Genomic DNA, 22378 nt, shown 5'->3' with positions numbered 1-22378 from the left:
ACAGTTTGCTGTTCTATTTGCCTATTAAAGGACATCTTGCATGCTTCCAAGTTTTGGCAATTATAAATAGAGCTTCTATAAACATTTATTTGCAGTTTTTTTGTGCAGACATAAATTTTGTATTCATTTGGGTAAATACCTAAAAGTGAGATGCTTGATTGTAGAAAACACTGGCTTCAAAAATTGTACATATGATAATGTATTTGATAATGTTTTATATCAGTATTTTTTTCCTGTAAGACATGACATGAGTTTTCTGAGACAGGCAGAGATTTACTATCATTTATTTACAGCAAGAGGCACACTCGTTCCCCACACTCCAATTTTGCCTTTCTCGGGGAAACACAATGAGAATCAGATAAGATCCCACATATATATATATACACACATACACTAGAGTCTATACCACATATATATACACACACTATATATATATATATATATGCACACACTATATATATATGCACACTATATATATATATACACACAATATATATATACACACTATATACACACTATATATACACTATATATACATATGTATATATATATACACACTAGAGTCTATACTACAGGTGAAGAACACTGATGGTTATACAGGACAACTAATGCAACAGTCATACTTCCCTCTTGAGAGAGGGAGAGAAACATATCTTCCTAAGATAAAAAAATTACCCCTTAGGATAAAAAAGGAAAATATCCAGGATTCTTATCCTTTCAAATATAAAATCACTATTTCCAGGGGAAAAATAAGTCTAGCCTCTCTGAATTTATGACTCCTGGAATACCTTCACAGCTCCAATTTTTTTCTCTGAAAAGTAAACATATCCCACTGAGCAGGTGTATTTCTTCTGATGGTCTAATTACTATTAACTTCAAATTCTCATAAGCCCAGATTCCAGTTTTCTATCCTCAGAAAGTCCTATCCATGTAGAAACGTTAAAATGTTTCCTTCCTGACACTATTCTATTTTTAAACTGGAATTTCTTCTAGAATGTATCATTCATTTAGATCCATGGTCCTTTGACCAGCAGCACCAGCTTCACCTGAACACTTGTTAGAAGCACCAGTGCTGAGGTTTTACCCTCACCTTCTGAATCAGAAACTCTCCAGGTTAGACCAAGCAATGCTTTATGAAAAGCCCTCCAAGTGAGTTTGATGTACATTCAAGTTTGATAGCCATTGCTTTAGATAAATAGTTAATAATATTAATATGGGGGATTGACTTTCTTTTCCTTCAATTTTTTTACTATGGTAAAATACACAAAATATAAAATTTCCATCTTAAGTATTTGTAGTGCACAATTCAGTGGCATTAAATACCTTTGTATTGTACAATTATCACCATGATTCATCTTCAAAACTGTTTTCTTCTTGTAAAACTGGAATTCTATACCCCAGAAATAACAACTCCTCATTTCTCCTTCCCACCAGCCTCAGGAAACCATAATTCTACTTTGTCTCTCTGATTTTGACTACTCTAAATACCTAATGTAAGTAGAATTATACAGTATTTGTCTTTTTGTGACTGGCTTAATTCACTTAGCATAATATCCTCAAGATTCATCCACTTTGGTGAATAATGTCAGAATTTCCTTCCTTTTTAAGGCTGAATAATATTCCAGTGTTTTTATATTGAACATTTATTTTACTTATTCACTTACGCATGCATAAACGCTTGGTTTGCTTCCATCTTTTACCTATTGTGAAAAATGCTGCTTTAACAGACTGTACAAATATCTCTTTGAAACCTTGATTTTAATTCTTTGGGTGTATACCCAGAAATAACATTTTTGGATAATATGGTATTTCTATTTTTATTTTATTTTTGAGGAACCACCACACTGTTTTCAGAGTGGATGTACCATTTTACATTTCCACCAACACTTCACGAGAGTTTGAATTTTTCCACAGCCTCACCAACATTTGTTATTTTCTATTTTTTTTAATAGTGGCCATCATAATGGGGGTGAGGTGGTAGCTCATTGTAGTTTTGATTTGCATTTACCTAATGATTAGTGGTGTTGAGTACCTTTTCATGCACTTAGTTGTTTGAATATCTTCTATGGAAGAAATGTCTGTTCAAGTCCTTCGACCATTTTTGAATCAGATTGTATTTTGTGTCTCCATATATTCTGGATATTAATCCCTATCAGGTATATAATTTACAAATAATTTCTCCCATTCAGTGGGTTGGTTTTTAGTGTTTTGATAGTGTCTTTTGATGCAGAAGTTTTCAAAATTTGTATAAAGTCCAATTTGTTAATTTTTTTCTTTTCTTGCATATGCCTTTGTTGTCATATCAAAGAAATCAGTGCCATACCCAAGGTTGTAAAGCTTTGTCCTCTGTTTTCTTCTAAGAGTTTTATAATGTTAGGTTTACATTTATACTTTTGATCTTTTTTTTTTTTAATATCCAGTTTTCTCAGCACCATTTGTTGAAAAGACTCTTCTTTTCCCACTGTATGATCTTGGCACCCTTGTTGAAAATCTCTTGACCATACGTATGAGGGTTTATTTTGGGACTCTCTATGGAGGTATGTATGTCTGCTTTTATGCCGGTACCCCACTCTTTTTATTACTGTAGACTTTTAGGAAGTTTGAAATCAGGAAATGTGAGATCTTCAGCTTTGTTCTTTTTGCTCCAAAAAGAACTTTGTGAAAAAGAGTTCAGGATACCTTGAGATTTCATAACATTTTAGTATTTTTGTTCCAACTTCTGCAAATGACATCATTGGGATTTTTATAGGGATCATATTGAATTTTAGATCATCTTGGGTAGCACTGACATCTTACAATATTTTCTTCTACTTCATGAATGTGAAAGTCTTTCCATTACGTCTTCTTCAATTTCTTTCAGCAATGTTTTGTAATTTTTAGTGTAGGAGTTTTCCAATTCCTTGCTTAATTCCTAAGTATTTTATTCTTTTTGATACTATTGTAAATGGGATTGCTTTCTTAATTTCTTTCATTCTTAGTGTATTAAAATGTAACTATTATGTGTTGACTTTGTAGCCTCCTGCTTTGATGATTTTATTTTAAAAGTCCATATTTTAAACATGACAACTAGTTTGATATATTTTCCTTGCAATTATGTAAGTGCTACCAAAATATAAAACACATAGTCCTTGATTGGTATGACAAGTAAAGACAGACATGAAATAACTGGGCAGGACACCAAAATAATCTGTTTATAATTGCATGGTAAAGGCAAAATATTTACAGTGGATATTATAGAGAAGATGACATTTGAGCTAGACGAGGGAGATAAACTAAGTGAAATTCTTAGAATTATAAGTTAAATTTTATAGGGAAACATATTATGACTTCCTATTAAATACTGATCTATTTTGACCAATACCTCTATTTCCCTGAGGACAGGATAAGAGGATACCACATGTCATACAGATAAATTGATATGATTTGACTGTGTCCTCACCCAGAACTGTAGTTCCCATAATCCCCATGTGTCATGGGAATGACCCAGTGGGAGGTCATTGACTCATGGGGTTGGTTACCTCCATGCTGTTCTCATGATAGCAAGTCGGTTCTCATAAGATCTGGTGGTTTTATAAGGGGCTTTCCCCCACTTTGCTCTGCACTTCTCCTTGCTGCTGCTATGTGTTTGCTTCATCTTCTGCCATGATTGGAAGTTTCCTGATGCTTCCCAGCCCTATAGAACTGTGAGTCAATTAAGCCTCTTTCCTTTATAAATTACCCAGTCTTGGATATGTCTTTATTAACAGCATGAGAACAGACTAATACATAAAGTAAAACTTAATGCAGTTAATTTATGCAGAATGAGGAGTCTATAATCTAGAAGTTGGGAAAGGAATATATAGAATTATCTCTTCTGAAGATTTTTAAAATTAATATATACTTGTGTCTAAGATGTTTTAGATAAAGCCTTAAGTTCATTATAAATATAATTTATGCTTTTATAACATTGTGTTGATGATTCTTCAGCAGTGAAGAATTTACTGCCAAGAATGGCATTGATAAATGAAATATTTAACCATTTAATACATGCATCACACTCTAGCTTACACATCCATAGGTGTAAATTTTATGTAATGGCAGAAAGACCCTGTTATCGAACCGTAAATTGAAGTTGCTTCATTACATACAATATTTGAAGTTCAAGTTGATATAATTTGCAGTGTTCTTTATCCTACTTTTTTTTTTTTTTGAATTTGCTCCATAATGATCATTATCCATTCTTATTTCAGGTACTTAAGGAAATATAACTTATTTCAAACGATAATGAGCCATCATATATATTAGCATCTGTCTAGTCTATATTATTTAGGAAATTGTGAAGATGAAGTTTAAAACTCTATTAGCAGTGTCCTGGAACACAAAATTTCTAAATTGAAAAACAAAAGCCTTGCAAATATTTCCTACGTTAATATTTCCTCTGTAAAATATAATTTAATGATTATATACAGAAGAAGATATTTAATTATCCCTTAGAATAATTTATGTCTCTACCTACGTTGAGATATTTTGGCCTACTCTTTAGGTTTAGTAAATACAGGGAGAAAGATTACTCACTAAATTGTCCACAAAACAAATTATCTATTAATTATATCATATTATGCTGTTTCCTGTCTATATGGAGGTATTTTGACAAACCAAGTAAGAGTTGTATTTCATAGTACCTATAGATACATTTAAATTGATAGTCTGCTCTACTGGCAGCAATTCATTTTAAAATCCATTATAAAAGAAAGCTCTGACCAGGAAAGCTGTCAGGAATATAGATAATTTAACTATGTAGGGGCAGAAAGCTCAGAACTCGAAGAGTTTGTGCTTTAGTTTCTATGTCAGTGTCTTAGCTCAGACTGCTACAACAGAATACCACAGAATGGGTGGCTTAAAAAGTTGAAATGAATTTCTCACAGTTCTGGAGGCTAGAAAAGCCAAGACAAAAGCCCTGACAGATCAAGTGTCTGGTGGGGACATGCTTCCTCTTTTTCAAATGGATGTCTTCTTGCTGTATCCTCACATGGCAGAGAAAAGAAAGAGAAAGCTATCTTATTTCATCTAATAAGGGTGCTAATCCCATTCATGATAGATCTACCTCACAATCTAATTACTTCTCAAAAGCCCCACTTTCTAATACCATCACAGTGGTGGTTAGTATTTCAATATGTGAATATTTGGGGGACACAAATTTCACTCCTTAACACTCACATAGAGCTTAAAATAATTAAAGAGCTGTACAGATTATAATAAAACAGAGCTGAGGCCGGCCAAGCACAGAAACGATAGGAATTTGTTCATACATGTGTTTACGTTTTTAAACATCACAGTCAAGTAAGATTTTTGTTTTTTTGTTTTTGTTTGTTTGCATTTGCAAGACAAAATGAACCTTAAGTTTTAAAATGAGTAGGAATAATCTATGTCATTTTCTGTGCCCTCAGTAGACAGCTCAAAGATTGGATCTATGTTTGCATCATTTGCTGTGTGTAAACTCAGGAAAGTATGGATTTTCATTACTTTATTAGTAAGAAATTTGCCTGCAGTCAACAGGATGAGCTGTTCGACAGTTGCCTTGATGGATCACTCATAATAATTACTTAGTGCTTGACAGTTACTAAATATTATAGAGTCTATTTATTTTTAATTATTATCAGGAATGAGGTTAATTGGCTTCGAAATCACAATTTTTTTAGGCTACAGAGTGGTGTGCAGGCATTGTCAAAGTAACCAGAATTTTACTATCGTGTTAAAAGCAAAAGGTTCAGCTGGGTGCGGTGGCTAACACCTGTAATCCCAGCACTTTGGTAGGCCAGGGCAAGTGGATCACCTGAGGTCGGGTGTTCGAGACCAGCCTGGCCAACATGGTGAAACCTCGTCTCTACAAAAATACAAAAAAAAATCAGCCGGGCATGATGGTGGATGCCTGTAATCCCAGCTACTCAGGAGGCTGAGGCAGGAGAATTGCCTGAACCCGGGAGTCGGAGGTTGGAGTGAGCTGAGATCACACCATTGTACTCCAGCCTGGGCGACAGAGTGAGACTGGATAAATACCATGAAGTTATTTCAAATCTACTTCTCTTGGGCATTTTGAACTAAGCCATGTTACGTTGTTAAGGTGCATCATGTCTATGAATCTAATGATCAAATTCAGAGGTCAGCAACTTTTTCTGTGAAAACCAAATCATGACTACCTTAAGCTTTGAAGGTCATAGAATCTCTGATTTTTGATATTTCTGTGGAGAGACAACCTCTTGGAGCTATTTATTCTGCTGTTTTTGCAGAAATCATCCAATGGACAAGGTCCAATTTTGAGTCACATGGGCTCAGCGGAGAACCCCTAGATGGCTAACAAAGCAGTCCACATCAAGCTCTTCTGCTGCATACCAATGTGAGACAGTTATTTCAAAGGAACAATAACAAAAATAAAAAAAAATAAAAATCTATATAATTATTTAAGTTGTAAGCAATTGAATTAAATGTTCTTTTAGAACATTATTTAAATTGAAAGAATGACATACACAAATTATGGCTATTCAGTATTGGGTATTTGATCGACATTATTTCAGAAATGAATAATGTGAACACTTTACTTAAAAATGGCTAATGATCACCACACTGTCTTCCACACTGGTTGAACTAATTTACACTCCCACCAACAGGGTAAAAGCGTTCCTATTTCTCCATATCCTCTCTAGCATCTGTTGTTTCCTGACTTCCTCAAGGATCTAGAATCAGAAATACCATTTGACCCAGCAATCCCATTACCCAAAGAATTATAATCATTCTACTATAAAGATACATGCACATGTATGTTTATTGCAGCACTGTTCACAATAGCAAAGACTTGGAACCAACCCAAATGACCATCAATAGTAGACTGGATAAAGAAAACGTGGCACATATACACCATGGAATACTATGCAGATATAAAAAAAGATGAGCTCATGTCCTTTGCAAGGACATGGATGAAGCTGGAAACCAGCAAATTAACACAGGAACAGTAAACCAAACAATGCAAGTTCTCACTCATAAGTGGGAGTTGAACAATAAGAACACAGGGACACAGGGAAGGGAACATCACACAGTGGGGCCTGTCAGGGTATGGGAGACTAGGGGATGGATAGCATTAGGAGAAATACCTAATGTAGATGACGGGTTGATGGGTGCAGAAAACCACCATGGCACGTGTATACCTATGTAACAAACCTGCACGTTCTGCACATGTATCCCAGAACTTAAAGTATAATTAAAAAATAAAAATAAAAAACCACTAGAAAATGGCTAATGATAAAAGCTGAGATATTCTAATCTGTATATGCTCCAGAATTATGGAAAACATATCTGCCACCATAAGCTTGATAGGTTTCCAATGCATAAAGACTTTTCTACTGAGGTCTGTGCTTTTATTAACAAATACGATTTTTGATATTATTTAAAGTGTGTCAATATTTGGAAAAGCTGGATAACCCGTTGAACAAGTATTTCCTAAATGACCAATGCATGTTACAAAATCATCATGAGTAAAATATCCATTCATTGTGTAAGATAGATTAAAATGAATTTTAATGCAAGACCCCAAAACAGTAGAAAAAGTGTAGCTATACAGTTCTGAATTCTGTATTGAAACTGCCTTTTAAGAACTACAATTTGTTCAAGTTTTGATGTCATACAAAAGAAGAATATTCATAATTATCTGAGATGGCTATTAAAATGTTCCTCCCTTTTCTAATTACATGTCTGTGTGATAAAGGATTTTCTCCACATATACCAACCGATATGACATGCCACAACTGATTGAATGAAGAAGCAGATAGAAGAATCTTGCTGTCTTCTATTAAGCCAGCTAAAACAGAGATTTTCAAAAAAGTAAGAAATGACACTTCTTACTGATTTTTTGATTTTGGAAAATATATTTATTTAAAACATGTTTTATGTTAAAATGTAATGAATTTATTTTTAGTGTTAAATAAATTAATAAATTATTTCTTTTAATATTGTTAGTTTTAATTTCTAAATTGGCAAATATTCATAGCTAAAATTCATGCACACATAAGCTCTTTAGGGTCCTTAATTTTTTTTAAGAGTTTAAATATTCTTAGACAAAAAGGTTTGGGAACCATTGCTTTAAGTGTCCTCTATGTCACTGGTTTTTCCCACTTTAGCATCAATATCTTAAATCCAAATGGCAGATAATTAAGATAATAATAAACAAACGTGAGATACTGTTTTTTAATGTACATATGTGTAATTCATTTCAAAGGGAATGCAGTGATTTCTCAAATTGGACTTTGGTTTCCTTCAATAAGATATTGATAAACCTTTAACCAATGCAGATGTGAAAATCGCCCAGATCCACTCTGCTCTTCTACTATGAATGGTGTATTGCCCTGATCCATACATCTTTATGTTTCAGGATAATTATTACTGGTTCTTTGCATTTTAGTGTTTGATCAAGGTATTATCTTCAAATGTCACTTTCATGGAATGATGTGGAGGTCCACAGGCCTGGATCACAGGCTCTGCCAGTGGCTGTGATGTTACCTGCTGTGGTCTTTCTCTCTTGCTTCGGGTAAGAGCTCTGCTTTGAACATGTTCTATGGGCTCAGAGGCACCTTTTCTCTCAGCATTCTCCTGCCAAATGCAGCAAATAAAGGGGATTATAGATGGGAGGTCATGTGGTGCATCAGGGTGTGTATTTCCTTTCGTTGGGGAGATTTCTGTACATATTACAGTGAAATGAAGACAAATTTCTCACTGCATAATGAAGGCATGGATGAAACCTGGATGCTATGAGTCATATATAATCCAAAATAACTAACAGAATCTCTGTCGAATCACTTCATCCTGATTCCCGTATAGTTTATATGTGTAAAACAACTAACTCAATGCAACTATTTTAAAAGTACTTTTATGTTTTAAAATAAAAACTATGGTAAGCTGCAATTAAAAATTTATTAAAATATCATTGCATATGCTAAGAATAAAGCTATCTTTCCACTTCTCTAAAAAAGAAAGAGAGAAACACTTTTTGCTTCCACCTTTCCTATAAGGAGGTCTGTCCTGGTCAAGCTGTGGCATATTGGTGACAAAAAGGATTAGTTTTTTTTATCAATAGATATTTGTTTTGCCTCAAATGTCATAAATCATACATAATAGATATGACTATATTTAAAGATAACTTATTCATTTTCTAAGAGGCCTTTGTGTTTTATCATATACATTTTTCCTTTGTTTCTCAGATCAAAACAATAGAGAAAATTACTTTTGGTAAGACTTAAGAATTATAAACTTGCAAGTCAAAAATAATACTGGCAAGCAGATTTTAGTACAACAATGCTGACATCCACTGACTACTTAAGCTAATGCACAATTTATAAATAGCATAGGACATGAGAGAGAGTGTTCATTTATTTACAAAGTTCCACTCAAAGTGAAATACTACTGTTATCTGCTTGTCTGATCAAAGTATCTAGGTCAGAATCTAAAAAACCCCTTGGAGAGTCATTATTTGTAAAGTATCTGGATTATCAAAGACTACTATTCAATACATATCCACAAAATAATTTACATTAAAGTTAATGTGCCTATCAAATATGATGTACTTAAACTTTTCCTACTGTAAAAGTGTTACCGGTTGAGGGTGTTCAGGCTCTTGGCGTTTTGAACAAAGAATTGGACAAGACGCCCAAACAAAGCAAGGGAAGAATGAAGCAACAAAAGCAGAGATTTACTGAAAATGAAAGGACACTCCACAGGGTGGCAGCAGGTCAAGCAAGCGGCTCAAGGGCCCAGTCACAGAATTTTCTGGGGTTTAAATATCCTCCAGAGACTCCCCATTGGTTATTTGGCTTATGCCCTATGTAAATGAAGAGGCTACAAAGTTGCATAGTTATTTACTTGAGGTACACCCTATGCAAATGAACTGGATGTTTCCTGTCATAGCTGAAGTAGAGTTACAAAGTTATTTACTTGGTCTTAGAAAGTTGAGGTTTTTCTGTTTGATTTTGTTCTAGAAAGTTCTTAGGTTCCCTGCCCCCAGACCCTGTTCTCCTGCCTCAGAAGTAGAGTTAAAAAAAATTTGTTCTGATTTTAAAGATTTATGCCTTTACATTCAAACATTACTATGGATACATGCTTTAGCATTCAACTATCAATACTGATGGTCACAGTTTTAGAGGTGTGCGTGTGTGTGTGTATGTATACGTATGTGCATATATAGGTATATGCATTATTGGTGCTTGGGAAATGATACCCCAAAATATGGTCCCTCGACATGCTGAACTAAAGAAGCAGCTTCAAAGTCTTTTTGACCTTGCCCTCTGCCCTCTCTCAATCTTTGTCTCGCTCAAAGCACACAGTGAGACTCTTCTCTGAAGCTCCCTTATCAACCTATCAACCCAGAAACTGGACCTGCCAAAGAACACAATTGCCTTCTATTCTTTCCCTCAAATGTCATTAACCAGAGGCGATTAAAACTCACACCACGGAGGAAGAGATTGAAAATTAAATACTACACGTACAGAACAGACAATCCTTGTCCCAAACTGTAGTCTGTTCTCCACTCCTATTCAATTCCCAGAGAGAATCATTTATTAAATATTGTCTAAGTATTGGGCCTCAAACATTCCCCCTGCACGTCATTTACCACCCTTCAGAATGGTCACAATTTCCCATCTTTCTTCCTTTATGAACAAAGATATATAAACATCTGTACCTCATTGAATTATTTAGTAATCACTCTCCTGTGATTCTCCAGTGCTTATGTATGTTAAACCAATTTGTGTGCTTTTTTTACCTATGAATCGGCCTGTTGTCAATTCATTTTCAGTGAGCCTTCAGGGGGCAGAGGAAAAACTTTCCCTTGTCCTCTACAGTAAAATATGTTTAGAAAAACATCTGTGTATTTCTCTTATTATTAACTTTTAAAAATAGAAATGAGTATTTAATTGTATCCAGTGCTTGATTCATTTATGAACGTGATAATTGACGATAATATGTAGTTTCTTTCTTAGCACTGTTCTGCTGAATTGTATTATTAATAGATTTTCAACTGTTCAGTCATACTTACATATATAGGTTAGTTTGCTTAGCTAGTATTTCACTTAGCCCCGAAGAAGGCAAAAAATGAAAAAATCTGTATGTTCTACAAAGGGTCGCAATTTCTTAGAAAGCAGCACAAGACATATTTGCAATGGTGGTAGCCTGGCCAATCTACAGAGAGGCTGATGTGTACCGTATCGTGACAAGCTTTGTTTCTTGCTTAGGACATCTTTAGAGTCAAAGAATGCCAAGAAAAGCTCTCTGCTTTAGTAAATTACCATTTATTCTACACAATGGACTGTGGGGACAATGACCAGAGAAGGTTATCAAAACAAGCCTTGGGAAGGTGTTCATTATTCTTCTAATGGAATATACTGCTGTTTTTATTTTCAATTCAGTTTTTGTATAGCCTAGATAATGCAAATTTTCAAGGCCTTTACAATATTGACCTTAAATTTTAGAATGCTCTACAAATATTTGACCCATTCATCAAATTTCTACTGTAATGAATATCCTTTCCTGGGAGTCTATAACAACTACACAAAAAGTTTTTCCATCAAAAAGTGTGTAATCTGTATGTATTTCACAAGTCCTGTTATCTTCTCAACCCTGCATTTAGAGTTGCCATTTCTTTCTCAGTGTTTTGGGTTTTTCTAGCACTAGGTGAGATAAACAAAAGAAAATAACCGACTTTTTAGTGAGTATTAGTAATCTTAATTGTGGATCAATAATGAACAAAATTATCCATCAAAAATATAATTTCAATTTTAAAGTTGTAAGATACTATCCAGCATTATTACCTTTCTTTGACAGATTTCTTGAATAATAAAAAGAGAGATACACTAAACTCTTGTCAGTTCTATAAATATGTAAGTTAGGGTTGTAAAGTAATTGGTAAACATTTGTAAATGAAAATGCGTCATTTTGGCAGTCCTTTTAGTTGTTTTATCCTTATAAAGTGATGTATTTAAAATTAAATCATCAAATTGACACACTACTTAATAGCATATTCTAAAGGACAGAGGGACTTTTTATAGGGGAAATGGAAATAACTCCTCAGTCAATAAAACAAAGCAAAATCTTTCTTCTTTATTACTTATAATAAAAAGTATACAAAGATTCATTCTATGCCATCATTATTCACCTCTTCAGTAGGGTTACAAAGAGTTCATAAAAATTAATGTTCACAAAACTTAAGTCTTGGCAGTTAGGATGGGGAAGAATATAAGACTAAAACAGCAACATAATTGCCTTAACTTCAAACCATTGTTACTTCTAAGACTTGACTATGATGGCAACTAGTTCTCAGCAGCCTACACTGCACATGTGAATAAACCTAAGCATTAGGACTTCCCACTTCTCCATGATGGAATTATTTAAGTGCCCAGAATAATCTCTAAAACTAGGAAGTATTCAGTAAATATTAATGACTAAAGACATCATGCTCTGTAGAACAATATTAAATAGAATGCCCTGCTATGTCACTGATTTAAGAGTGTTGTGTGTTCTGGATACTTTTTATGTGGATAGATGCCTTGATTTCCCAACTGAAATGATGGCATTCTAAAGTGAAATATGTTTTCCAGCAATTTTTTCTTCACAGCAAAAAAGCCCATAGTATTTGTTCAACAATGACTAGGTGGATAATCAAGTGATTTTTCTGACGAGAAGAGTAAATTCTACATATTTTTTGCATGTGACTCTCCATGGAAATAATGTTATGAATAGTAATTCAAAATAGAGTGTTTCTTTGAAATTTACTATTCAATTTCTATACATGGCACTGTAGAAAGTATCAACTTTATATAAGTTGAATGAATTGTTTTTGTGCTTAATACACAGTGCTCTAATTTCCAATTAAAATTTCACTACACATTTAATTATATCACAGATCATTTTAATTACTTAGGACTAGTCATTTAAATGGATTACTTAGTTTTTGTGGTATTTCCCCTAGAATTACCTATGATAAAGGCCAAGTAAATGGTCATTCTCTTTTCCTTTCCGATAGGATTTGTCTCTAGTTATATATATTGAATGTTTGTTAATCTGAATCACTAATTCTCTTTTTCAAGTATTAAATATTACAGAAAACATCTCTTACCTTCACAATGGAAAGTCCCCAAGACACTAAGGGTCACTAGTGAAGTAATTTATGACACAGACTAATCTTGCTCTGTGTCAATATTAAGCTCTCCAATACTTTCAAGAATGCATTAGCATATAATGTAATGCAAGTTCTAGAGCCAAAAGAAACCACTAAATTTAGAGTTTGACATGGCATTTTACTAAGATAAGTCCTTGTCTGCACTGCAAACAGATGAAGCTATGACTCTTTTGAGCTTAATTTGCATATCATCTAATATTTTCATGCTGAGAAAGCACAGGCATCATCCTGATTTAGAGGCAGTTAGCAATTTCTATACGTAAAGCCAGTGAAACAGGCAAATACTCATTTTTTTTCTTTAAAATGCAACTGGAGACTTACTTAGGTTAGGCTTGTACTCATACTATTTGTTAAGAATAAAATAGCTATTTAAGTCTGCCAAAGCACAGACAAATAAAAATGTATTTATTAAGTCTTGTTTAAAATAATATAATTAAATATTTTAGTGAATTTAGCACGGGTTTCATTTCTTGTGTGACAATAGAAATAAATCAAGTTGAAAATTTTATATTTGTTTAAATACCACAGATGTTTAATGAACAATTGCTACTTGGCCAAAACAAAGTTTTGATTTTGCCCATTTACATAACTGAGACATATTTCTCTATGTGCAGAAAATACATCTGGTGTCAAAAACAACCTCAGAGAGTGAGACAACTTGAAATGCAGAGCTTAGAAGCAGATGTGGTGTAATGGGAAGACTGTGTAGCCATTTGAGTATTAAAAGATCTGACAATTGACCCTAAGAATAGATATTATTTGCTATACAGTATTTCATTCTCAAATTATCTTTCCAAGAGCTTCTCATTATTAACACACATCATAGCAAACCACCTGATAAGGTTTGTTATCCCCAGTTTACAGATGAAGACTCTGTATGAAGAGAGATGTTAAGAAACTTGCCCAGGGCCATGTAATTAGTAATTGCAGGACCCTGGATTCAAACCCTGGTGGTGTAGTTTAACTGTTTCACTTCAACACTTCTGCTACCAGTAGCAGAAATCATACACTCCAGGTGTGGGCTACTTGCCTTTACCTTTGAAACAGTTACAACAATAATATATACCTGATAAGTTTTTGTAAGAATGAATAATGCTACTGGTTATTCAAAAATTTTTGTAAAGTATTCTACAAATCTTTGCTCTTATCTTAATCTATATTAATATGCTTCACTCTTGGGTATGTCAATGTGCTTATATGCATGTCTGTCCCATTTCTTAGACTGGGGGTTGGCAAAATTAGTCTGTAAAATTTATTGAGGCTTTGTGGACCATCAAGTCTCTGTCCCAACTACTCAATTCTAACACATAAGCAGTCATAAACATTATGTAAACGATCGTGTGGCTGTAATCCAATAACCAATAAACCTTCTTGACAAAATCAGACAATAATTAGACCCACAGGCCATAGTCTACCAATTCCTGACTTTGATAGTATTATTGGTTTAAATGTGATAGAGACACAAATGTTATATTTAAGTGCTGTATTTACAGACTTTATCACCAATATGCAAGCCATGGATGCATGTTAAATGGAATCTTATCTATATTGTCTGCATTATACTATGTCTTTTAGGTAGAGATGGCTTCATTCTAGCCTAGTATCTTCCCAGAACTGTTTACTTATGGGACTCTGATTATATGCTAACTATCTCAACAGTTCCAATGACAAACACATTTTGTATTTCCCAAGTAGGCAAACAGGCTGACATCTGAATTAATAGTTAAATGAACAAAAGCTACTTTCACATATATTTCCTATGCAACTACTTGGAATTGTACATAAGACAAGTAGAAGATGGAGATTTTATATGCAATGTCAAAAACCACTTTAGAAAATGTGATTCTATGTAGAAGTGAATTTCTGGGGAAGTCTCTATTATATTTAACTGGCAGCTTGAGTGCTGAGCAGATGATACTAGTGCAGAAGGTACTGCATAAATTTCTGATTAAAACAGAAACATGGACTTTTTATGTGAAAGCAATTTAATTCCCTATGCCTGTATCTGCAGTTTGTTTCCCAGTGAACATCAAGTTTGCAAAGAGAAACCATGTATGTGTTTTTACTGCTATAAATGAGAAACTAAAATGATATGTTTAGAAAAACACATAGGGAGCAAATATTGTATGTTTTTACATGTAGTTTAATGCTTGATAAAAACAAGCATTTGTTTCTCAACTCTATTTTTTCTACTTTGAAAACATAGATGTAATTTTTGCTTAGCAGTTATATCGCAGTACCTTGGGTGACTTCACTTTCTATTAAGTTGATATAAATTAAAATTTTAACTCTCCTTATTCTTAAATGTCTCTGCTTCCAATTTTACAAAATTCGCAGTAGACTCATGCACCTTCCTGGCATCTGAAACAAAATTCTCACATACATACACAAATACAAACACATAAGCTCACTGAGAAACTGCATATCTACAGCATTTCATGTTTTTCTCTGTCCTTGAAAAAAAGTACACCACTTCTCATGCAAAGGTAATTTCTCTTCCATGTCCTTTCTAGCCCCTCAATCTTCTCATGGCCTGATCACATTTTACTCTCTTTCACAATCCTCAGTCTCCCTTTCCTGAGCCTTTAGTCTCCCTCTCTATGTACTCATTTTCCTCAGCCTGAGAAGCTCATAATTCTACTATGTCTTTCTACCTTAGGCATTGAAACTTCTCTAGCTGTTGTCTTAGTTATATGTTTTTTATTTCTATTGAACATCCTGAAAAACTAGGCTATAGTTACCATTTCCATTTTCTTACTACATTTTAAGAATTAATGTTCTGTCCCTAGAAGTATCTTATAAATCTTATAAATCTGACCGTGGATCATTTTGACAGTCTCATGGAAGTTACAAGTTTTTGCCCGAAATAATGCATATATAGAGAGAATTCTTTACATCAGTTTAGGGTGATCAGACCTTTTGATGACCACAAGTGACACATTTATCTTAAACTAAGTATCCCTACACTTCTTTCCCTAACCAGCTCCCATAGGTTCTAGTACCACCCAAGTAGACATGAATCCTCAATCCATGAGTCTTTTCCCTGTCTCCTTCAAGACCTCCAGATCTTCTACTGAACATCTCTATTTGCATGATGCATATTCAATCTGTCCAAATGGCCCATCATATCCCTCCAAAACTATCTCCTCTCTTATTTCCTATTTGATGAAATGCAATATTATAGCTAAAAACCTTGAGGATTACCATGACACTCTTACTCCTTATATATGATCTGTGAGAAAGTCTTTTTTACTATACTCCTAAATATCTCAGTTTTTCTACATAATCTTTTTACCTATGGATAGTTTTCTGATGATGTGTCATTTTCACCCATACAATCACAGGTCTTATAACTGACCATCATAATTATCTCCTACCGCCTCCATTCTAAAGTCAGTCTCAACTATAATATCCTTCAAGGGAATTCTATACACTAAAAGTAATACAATAACCATAACTTAGGTAAAAGTAATCAAACTCTTGCCTATATTTCCAACTTCATGCCCTGTCAGTGCATTATACTTAATCTGCCTTCCAGTCATAGTGAACTATGTGTCATTCCCCAAAGATAAAATGACAATTTGGCTTTGCACACCTGGTTGACTCTGGTCAGAATTTTCTCCTTTCCCCTGACCAAAAAACTCCTAGTAAACCCTTAGGATTCAAGTCAAGGACCAAAGACTCAGGGAAATCTGATCCAAAGTACCTTTCTCCATGTCCATAAGACCTACAGTGAAGAAGCAGGACAATCCAGAGAAAGAAAATCAAATACTTAAGTATTTTACTAAAGGTGAGATTGTTTGAGCTGCTTTTAATGTTTTACATAATTTTGAAGACCAATTTTTATATTCTTCCAGTTTTTAACTATTTTTTACTATTCTTACACCAATGTCTCAAATACATTATGTTCTCTAGTTGTATAGATCTACATTTCAATAACTGTGGTAGGCAAAATAATGACTCCATCCCCAACCTCTTCAGGTACACACATCTTAATCCCAAGAACCTATGATTATGACAGATTATATGACAAAGGGAAATTAAGTTTGCAGATGGAATTAAGCTTGCTAATCAACTGACCTAAATTAGGGGGCTTATCCTGTATTTTCTGTGTGGGCCTGATCTAATTATAAGGGTCTTTACAAGTGAAGACAGGCTCCAAGAGTGAATGCTCAGAAGGGATGTAACTTTACTTGTTTGGAAGAGGTGTGGGGAGAGGGCACAATAGGACAAGGAATATGGTAAGCCACTAGAAGATGAAAGGGGCAAAGAAACAAATTCCCTCTTAGAACCTCTGGAAAGAAATACAGCCCTGAATTTTAGCCCAATGAGACCTGTATTAGACTTATTACATTAGAGAAATGTAAGATAATACATTTGTGTAGTTTAAGCCACTAAGTTTGCTGTAATTTGTCACAGCAGTAATAATGACTATAACAACTTTCACCACACTGACATTTCTACTACTGGACATATATAACCGTGCAAAATATACTATTAGAAAAATTAGGAAAAACATTGTAAGCAAATCAAACTTTGAAAATCCAGTAAAGAGCAATAAAAAATACCCAGAAATCTTAGTTTTTAATTAAATTGCATGGTTCTATAATGTATCTCTAAAGACAAAATAAAAACCAGTAAATTAAAACTTCAGAAAAATCTTCTAACAGCTAAAACTGTTTCATCTAACACATTTTCTCTAAATTTTATGAACAGTTAAAAAGAAATATTTTTGGAAAATTGATATATTAGGTAAAACAAATAAAGTTTACTTTTCAAAGCGTTTTCATTTAGATATTTTTTAAATCTGTCTATTTTGTTCTGCCTTTTTATCCTGCTTTTGAATTTGACAATTGTCCTATGGGAAACAGTACAAATTTAAGGCCCCTAGTTCTGCCAAAAAATCTGTTAGTTTCTCTGAGCCCTAATCCTGGACACTTCAAGAATGAGGTATATCCTTCTTCTGTAAAATACCATTGGGAAAATGTGGCTGCAGAAGTCATTTTATTTCTTTTAGTTTATTCACTCTGAAGTCTTAAACCTCCGCTTTCTCAGCATGCCTCTGAAGCTTCAAATACATTAATAAATTATTTCTGGTTTTTGTTTCTTTCTTTCTTTCCTGCTTCTCTTGTTAGTCTGATAGGAACACTTGTCTCCAGTTATTTGACCCTATCTATAAGTGGAAACACCTCTGACTTTAAAATGTTTTAAAATTTAATGATGAAAGTTTTATTGTGTCATTTCCTAATAGTAACACTGGTAGACTTTGGGGAGAAAGACTTGGAATAAGAGAAGGTAAAGGTGATTGGGTTCTACTTATGATACTGTGAAAAGTTTCCATATTTGATATTGCAATACGGTTGTATTTTAAAACGAGCATTTTGTATAGGACACCTGCCATTTTGAAAATATTTGAGAGTAATGATAAAAAGATATAGTGGGCCTATTTTTCAACCAACCTTTCTTTTCTGGTTTCAATTAGTGTTTGCTTAATCCAATTTTTCCTGGCAGTTTTCCTTTTCATTGGCAGTTTTAATGGCCAGTTACATTTCATTTTATTTAGAAGAGAAATTAGTATATCTTCTGGTTGGAGGCAGCAGGAATACAAGAAATTAGTTTATGAGGTTTGTATTAATAAAGAAGTTTAAAAATATAGAAATTAATTCATAATCTATACACAATAGTGCTTATAAAAAATTAGAAAAAGCTCATAGTAAAGTACATAATACAAAATAAGCATTTATCGCCCCAATCACTTTTTACCCTCTCCTAAGTAAAAGAAAACATCTATTTTTATTTCTAATTTTATGCAAAGGGAAAAATTGCATACATATAATTATTTAATAAAACAATTTGGAGATTTATTTATAAGGCATACAGTTTTTACTATCTTTCACGTTCCTCAAATTGAATTCCAATTTCATCATCTGACATTTTATGACTCAGCAAATTTCTTAACCTCTCTCTGTCTCAGTTTGTTCATATTTAAACAGGGGAAGTAGCTGCACCTACCTCATGGTATCTTGGCAAGAATTAAATAAGTTACTATGTGTAAAAGTGCCTGTAGTTACATACCTGGTAGGTTTTAAGTATTATATAAATATTCATTCTTATTATTGTTCTGCTTTTGATTATTATGTTTCAGGTAATATTTTAGATGCTAAGAACTTACAGTGAACAAGGTTGAAAATACTTTGATCAAATAAAGCCTACATTCACATGGAAGGATGGGCAGATAATACGCAAGGAAACTAATAATCAAACAACAAGAATATTATCTACAAGTACTGCAGATAATGTGAAGTTTGGTGTAATAGACTAGGTTAAGGCTAGGTCTGAAGGGATGGAGGGGTTAAGCAAGCCAATTCTGGTAGAATATTTAAGGAAGACGTCTTTAAGATAGTGATAGCTAAGCTGGGATATAAGAAGTGCTAGCCTCCTCAGGATTAAAGGAAACACATTTCAGGTAGAGAAAAGAGTAAGCAAAACAGTCTCTGGTGTGAGAATAAGTTTGATGTTTCCTGTAATAGAAAAGTTTCATGTAACAGGTAAGTAAAAAGCAGTGAGCCTGGGAGACTGGAATAAGAGAAGGGATATATAAAATACAGGGAGAATGCCTGTTACTGTCCATAATAATGCAGTAACTGGTACCAGACTTGCCCTCCTATTGTACACAACTATATACTGGATAAACTCTATACAGTAAATACATCCAGTTGTTGGGAAGCAGGCTGTGTCCTGCGCTCACCTAGGATGCCGGGCTGGGGCTCTTTTCCCCAGTGCAGGGAGGGAGGTGGGGCCCATGCAGGCTGGCCATCTTGCAGAGCTGAGAAAGCAGAGATCGTACGTCAGGACTGCTGAAGGGGCTGAAGAGCATGAGAGACAAGAGGAGATATCTGTACAGTGGGTGAGGAAAGGTTGAGGGGTGACCTAGGAATCTTCATGTGGAATTCAGTGACAGATTTATGGCAGAGGGCTGAGCTCTGTACACACTGGGTAAGACTCCACAGGCCTTGCAGAGAGAAGATGCTGAGGAGCTGAGAGCAGAACTGAGATATCAGAGGTCATATAACTTCTAGCCAATTAGGTGGAGGAATCTTACTGAGCCTCTTCAGTATTCAGACAAAACAACAACAAAAGAGCCAGATATTGATGGTGGGGAAAATACTATTCCTTAGAACATGATTTGGAAAATATTTTCTGTAAAGGGCCAGATAACAAATAGTTTTACCTGTGTCTGTCACATATTCATCTTTTTTTACAAGCCTTCATAAATGTAAAAAATATTCTTAGCTCTGAGCTATGCAAAAACGGGCACTGAATTTTGCCATCTGGCCATAGTTGGCCACCCTGTGCTGTAGTGTAATTAAAATAGGTCTATCCTTACAAAGAGTAAAACTGCTTGAATAAGCATAAAGATCCCAAAATAACTTATCAACTTATCAAAAAAATCAACATTTTTAAAGTAAGAAAATGTATTTTATAACTCACTATGATGTATTATCAACCACGTGGAGCATAAACATAAAAACATGAGTAAAAGCAGCAAAATGTGACCCATAATAAAAAAGAGAAGGAACCAATAGAAACAGATGTCAAAATTACCCAGATGTTGAAATTAGCGGAAGGAATTTAAACATCTATTATAAATATGTTCAAGGACATAAGAAAAAGGGTGGTCATATTGAGTGAACATATGGGGAATCTCAGCAGAGAAATGAAAACTATTTTAAATGTACTAAGTTGAAATTTGAGAACTGAAATATAAAATATGGGAAATGAAAAACTCACTGGATGAACTTAACATGGAATTGGAGACACCAGAGTAAAGGGTCAGTGGTCTATAAAACAAATCAATGAAAGTTATATAATATGAATAGCAGAAAAAATAAACTGAAAAACAAATAAACAGAGCCACCATGACAGTTGGGACAGTTGGACATTATCAGACAGTACAGTTACATGAAATTGGAGTCTCAGAAAAAGAGGAATACATATTAGAGCAGAAAAAAATATTCAAGAAACTTATGAATAAAAAAATCCTCAAATATGGTAAAAATTATTTACAACCTAGAGATTCATGAACCTTACTGCACCTCCAGCACGATGAATACAAAGAAAAGCATGCATAGGAATATCATAATTATGGTGCTGAAAAGCAAAGTTAAAGAAAAAGTCAAAAATCAGAGAAGGATACTTTAAAGAGGAAAGCTATGATGCAAATGCTAGCTGATTTATTTTCAAAGACAATGAAGGCCAAAATACAGGAGAAGAAATCTTCAAAAAGCCAAAGAAAGAAAAAAAAAGACCTATCAATCCTAAGTTATATATCCAGAGATGCTAGCTTTACAAACGTATTAAAATAATTTTTTAAATGGTAATAAATGGAAGGTAAAGGAATTCAATGTCAGAATGTCCAAACTAGGAAATCCTAAAGGACATTCTCTAGGATAAAAGCAAATGGAAAGTAGAGTCTACACAGAGAAATAAAGAGCAGAGAATATGAAAAATATATCCTCAAATATAAATATATCTCTGTATTTTTTTCCTTTTGATATCTTTTAAAAAAGAGATTAACCCCTTAAACCCAGCTGGGTTAGAGTAAGTCCAATGAAAGCCTTTCCTTCCCAATGATAAAAATTAAAACATCTGTACAAAATACAAGGAGAACCATCTGAGGCCTCTGAAAAGTAAATAATAAGCAGATGCATTCAGAAGGGAAGTGAATACATGAAGAAATGGATAACAGGGGTGAGTTACCCATTTCGTTTTACTTATTCAATATTCTATTGTGGCTTTGAGCTGAGGGCAGGTGCCTCACAGAGCTGTGATGAAAGAATGATCAGATAAAACTTCAAGAGGAATCACATTTCTTTGGCCAGAGGAATCTGGAAAAGGAATTTATTAAATATAAAAGGTAATGGGGGAGTGTCTCTTTTTTTAAATTGATTTTTACTTTTTTCTCTAGCTTTGACTTAAAGTCAGCCCTTCTCAAAATTCTTCAATCAATAGTCTAACCTTAAGCTTTAAGAAACTGAAACATAGAAGTGTAAATTCAACTCAAATAAAGTAGGTAGAAGAAATGATAAAGAGAATAGATCTATAGAATTAAAAACAAAAATAAGAGAGAAAATAAATTAAAAGTTGTTTTTCTTAGTAAAAGGATGAGAAAAATAAGGTAAAAGA

The 22378-nt window shown here is 33.9% G+C and overlaps 2 long non-coding RNA genes across 2 annotated transcripts in view; one reads left to right on the top strand and one right to left on the bottom strand.

The window, feature by feature from the left end:
- Window positions 1-22378, bottom strand: part of NRXN1-DT (NRXN1 divergent transcript) — a 1375317-nt gene that overhangs the window by 253350 nt on the left and 1099589 nt on the right. The gene's annotated exons all lie outside the window — the stretch shown is intronic.
- On the top strand, window positions 6295-8756 carry LOC107985766 (uncharacterized). The gene is made up of 3 exons (XR_001739091.1): window positions 6295-6373; window positions 7736-7851; window positions 8429-8756. It is a non-coding gene; the product is annotated as an uncharacterized LOC107985766 (long non-coding RNA).

The sequence above is a fragment of the Homo sapiens genome, chromosome 2 (genome assembly GCF_000001405.40).
Source record: "Homo sapiens chromosome 2, GRCh38.p14 Primary Assembly".
Classification (NCBI taxonomy): Eukaryota; Metazoa; Chordata; class Mammalia; order Primates; family Hominidae; genus Homo; species Homo sapiens.
This window is presented reverse-complemented; position numbering and strand designations above follow the sequence as displayed.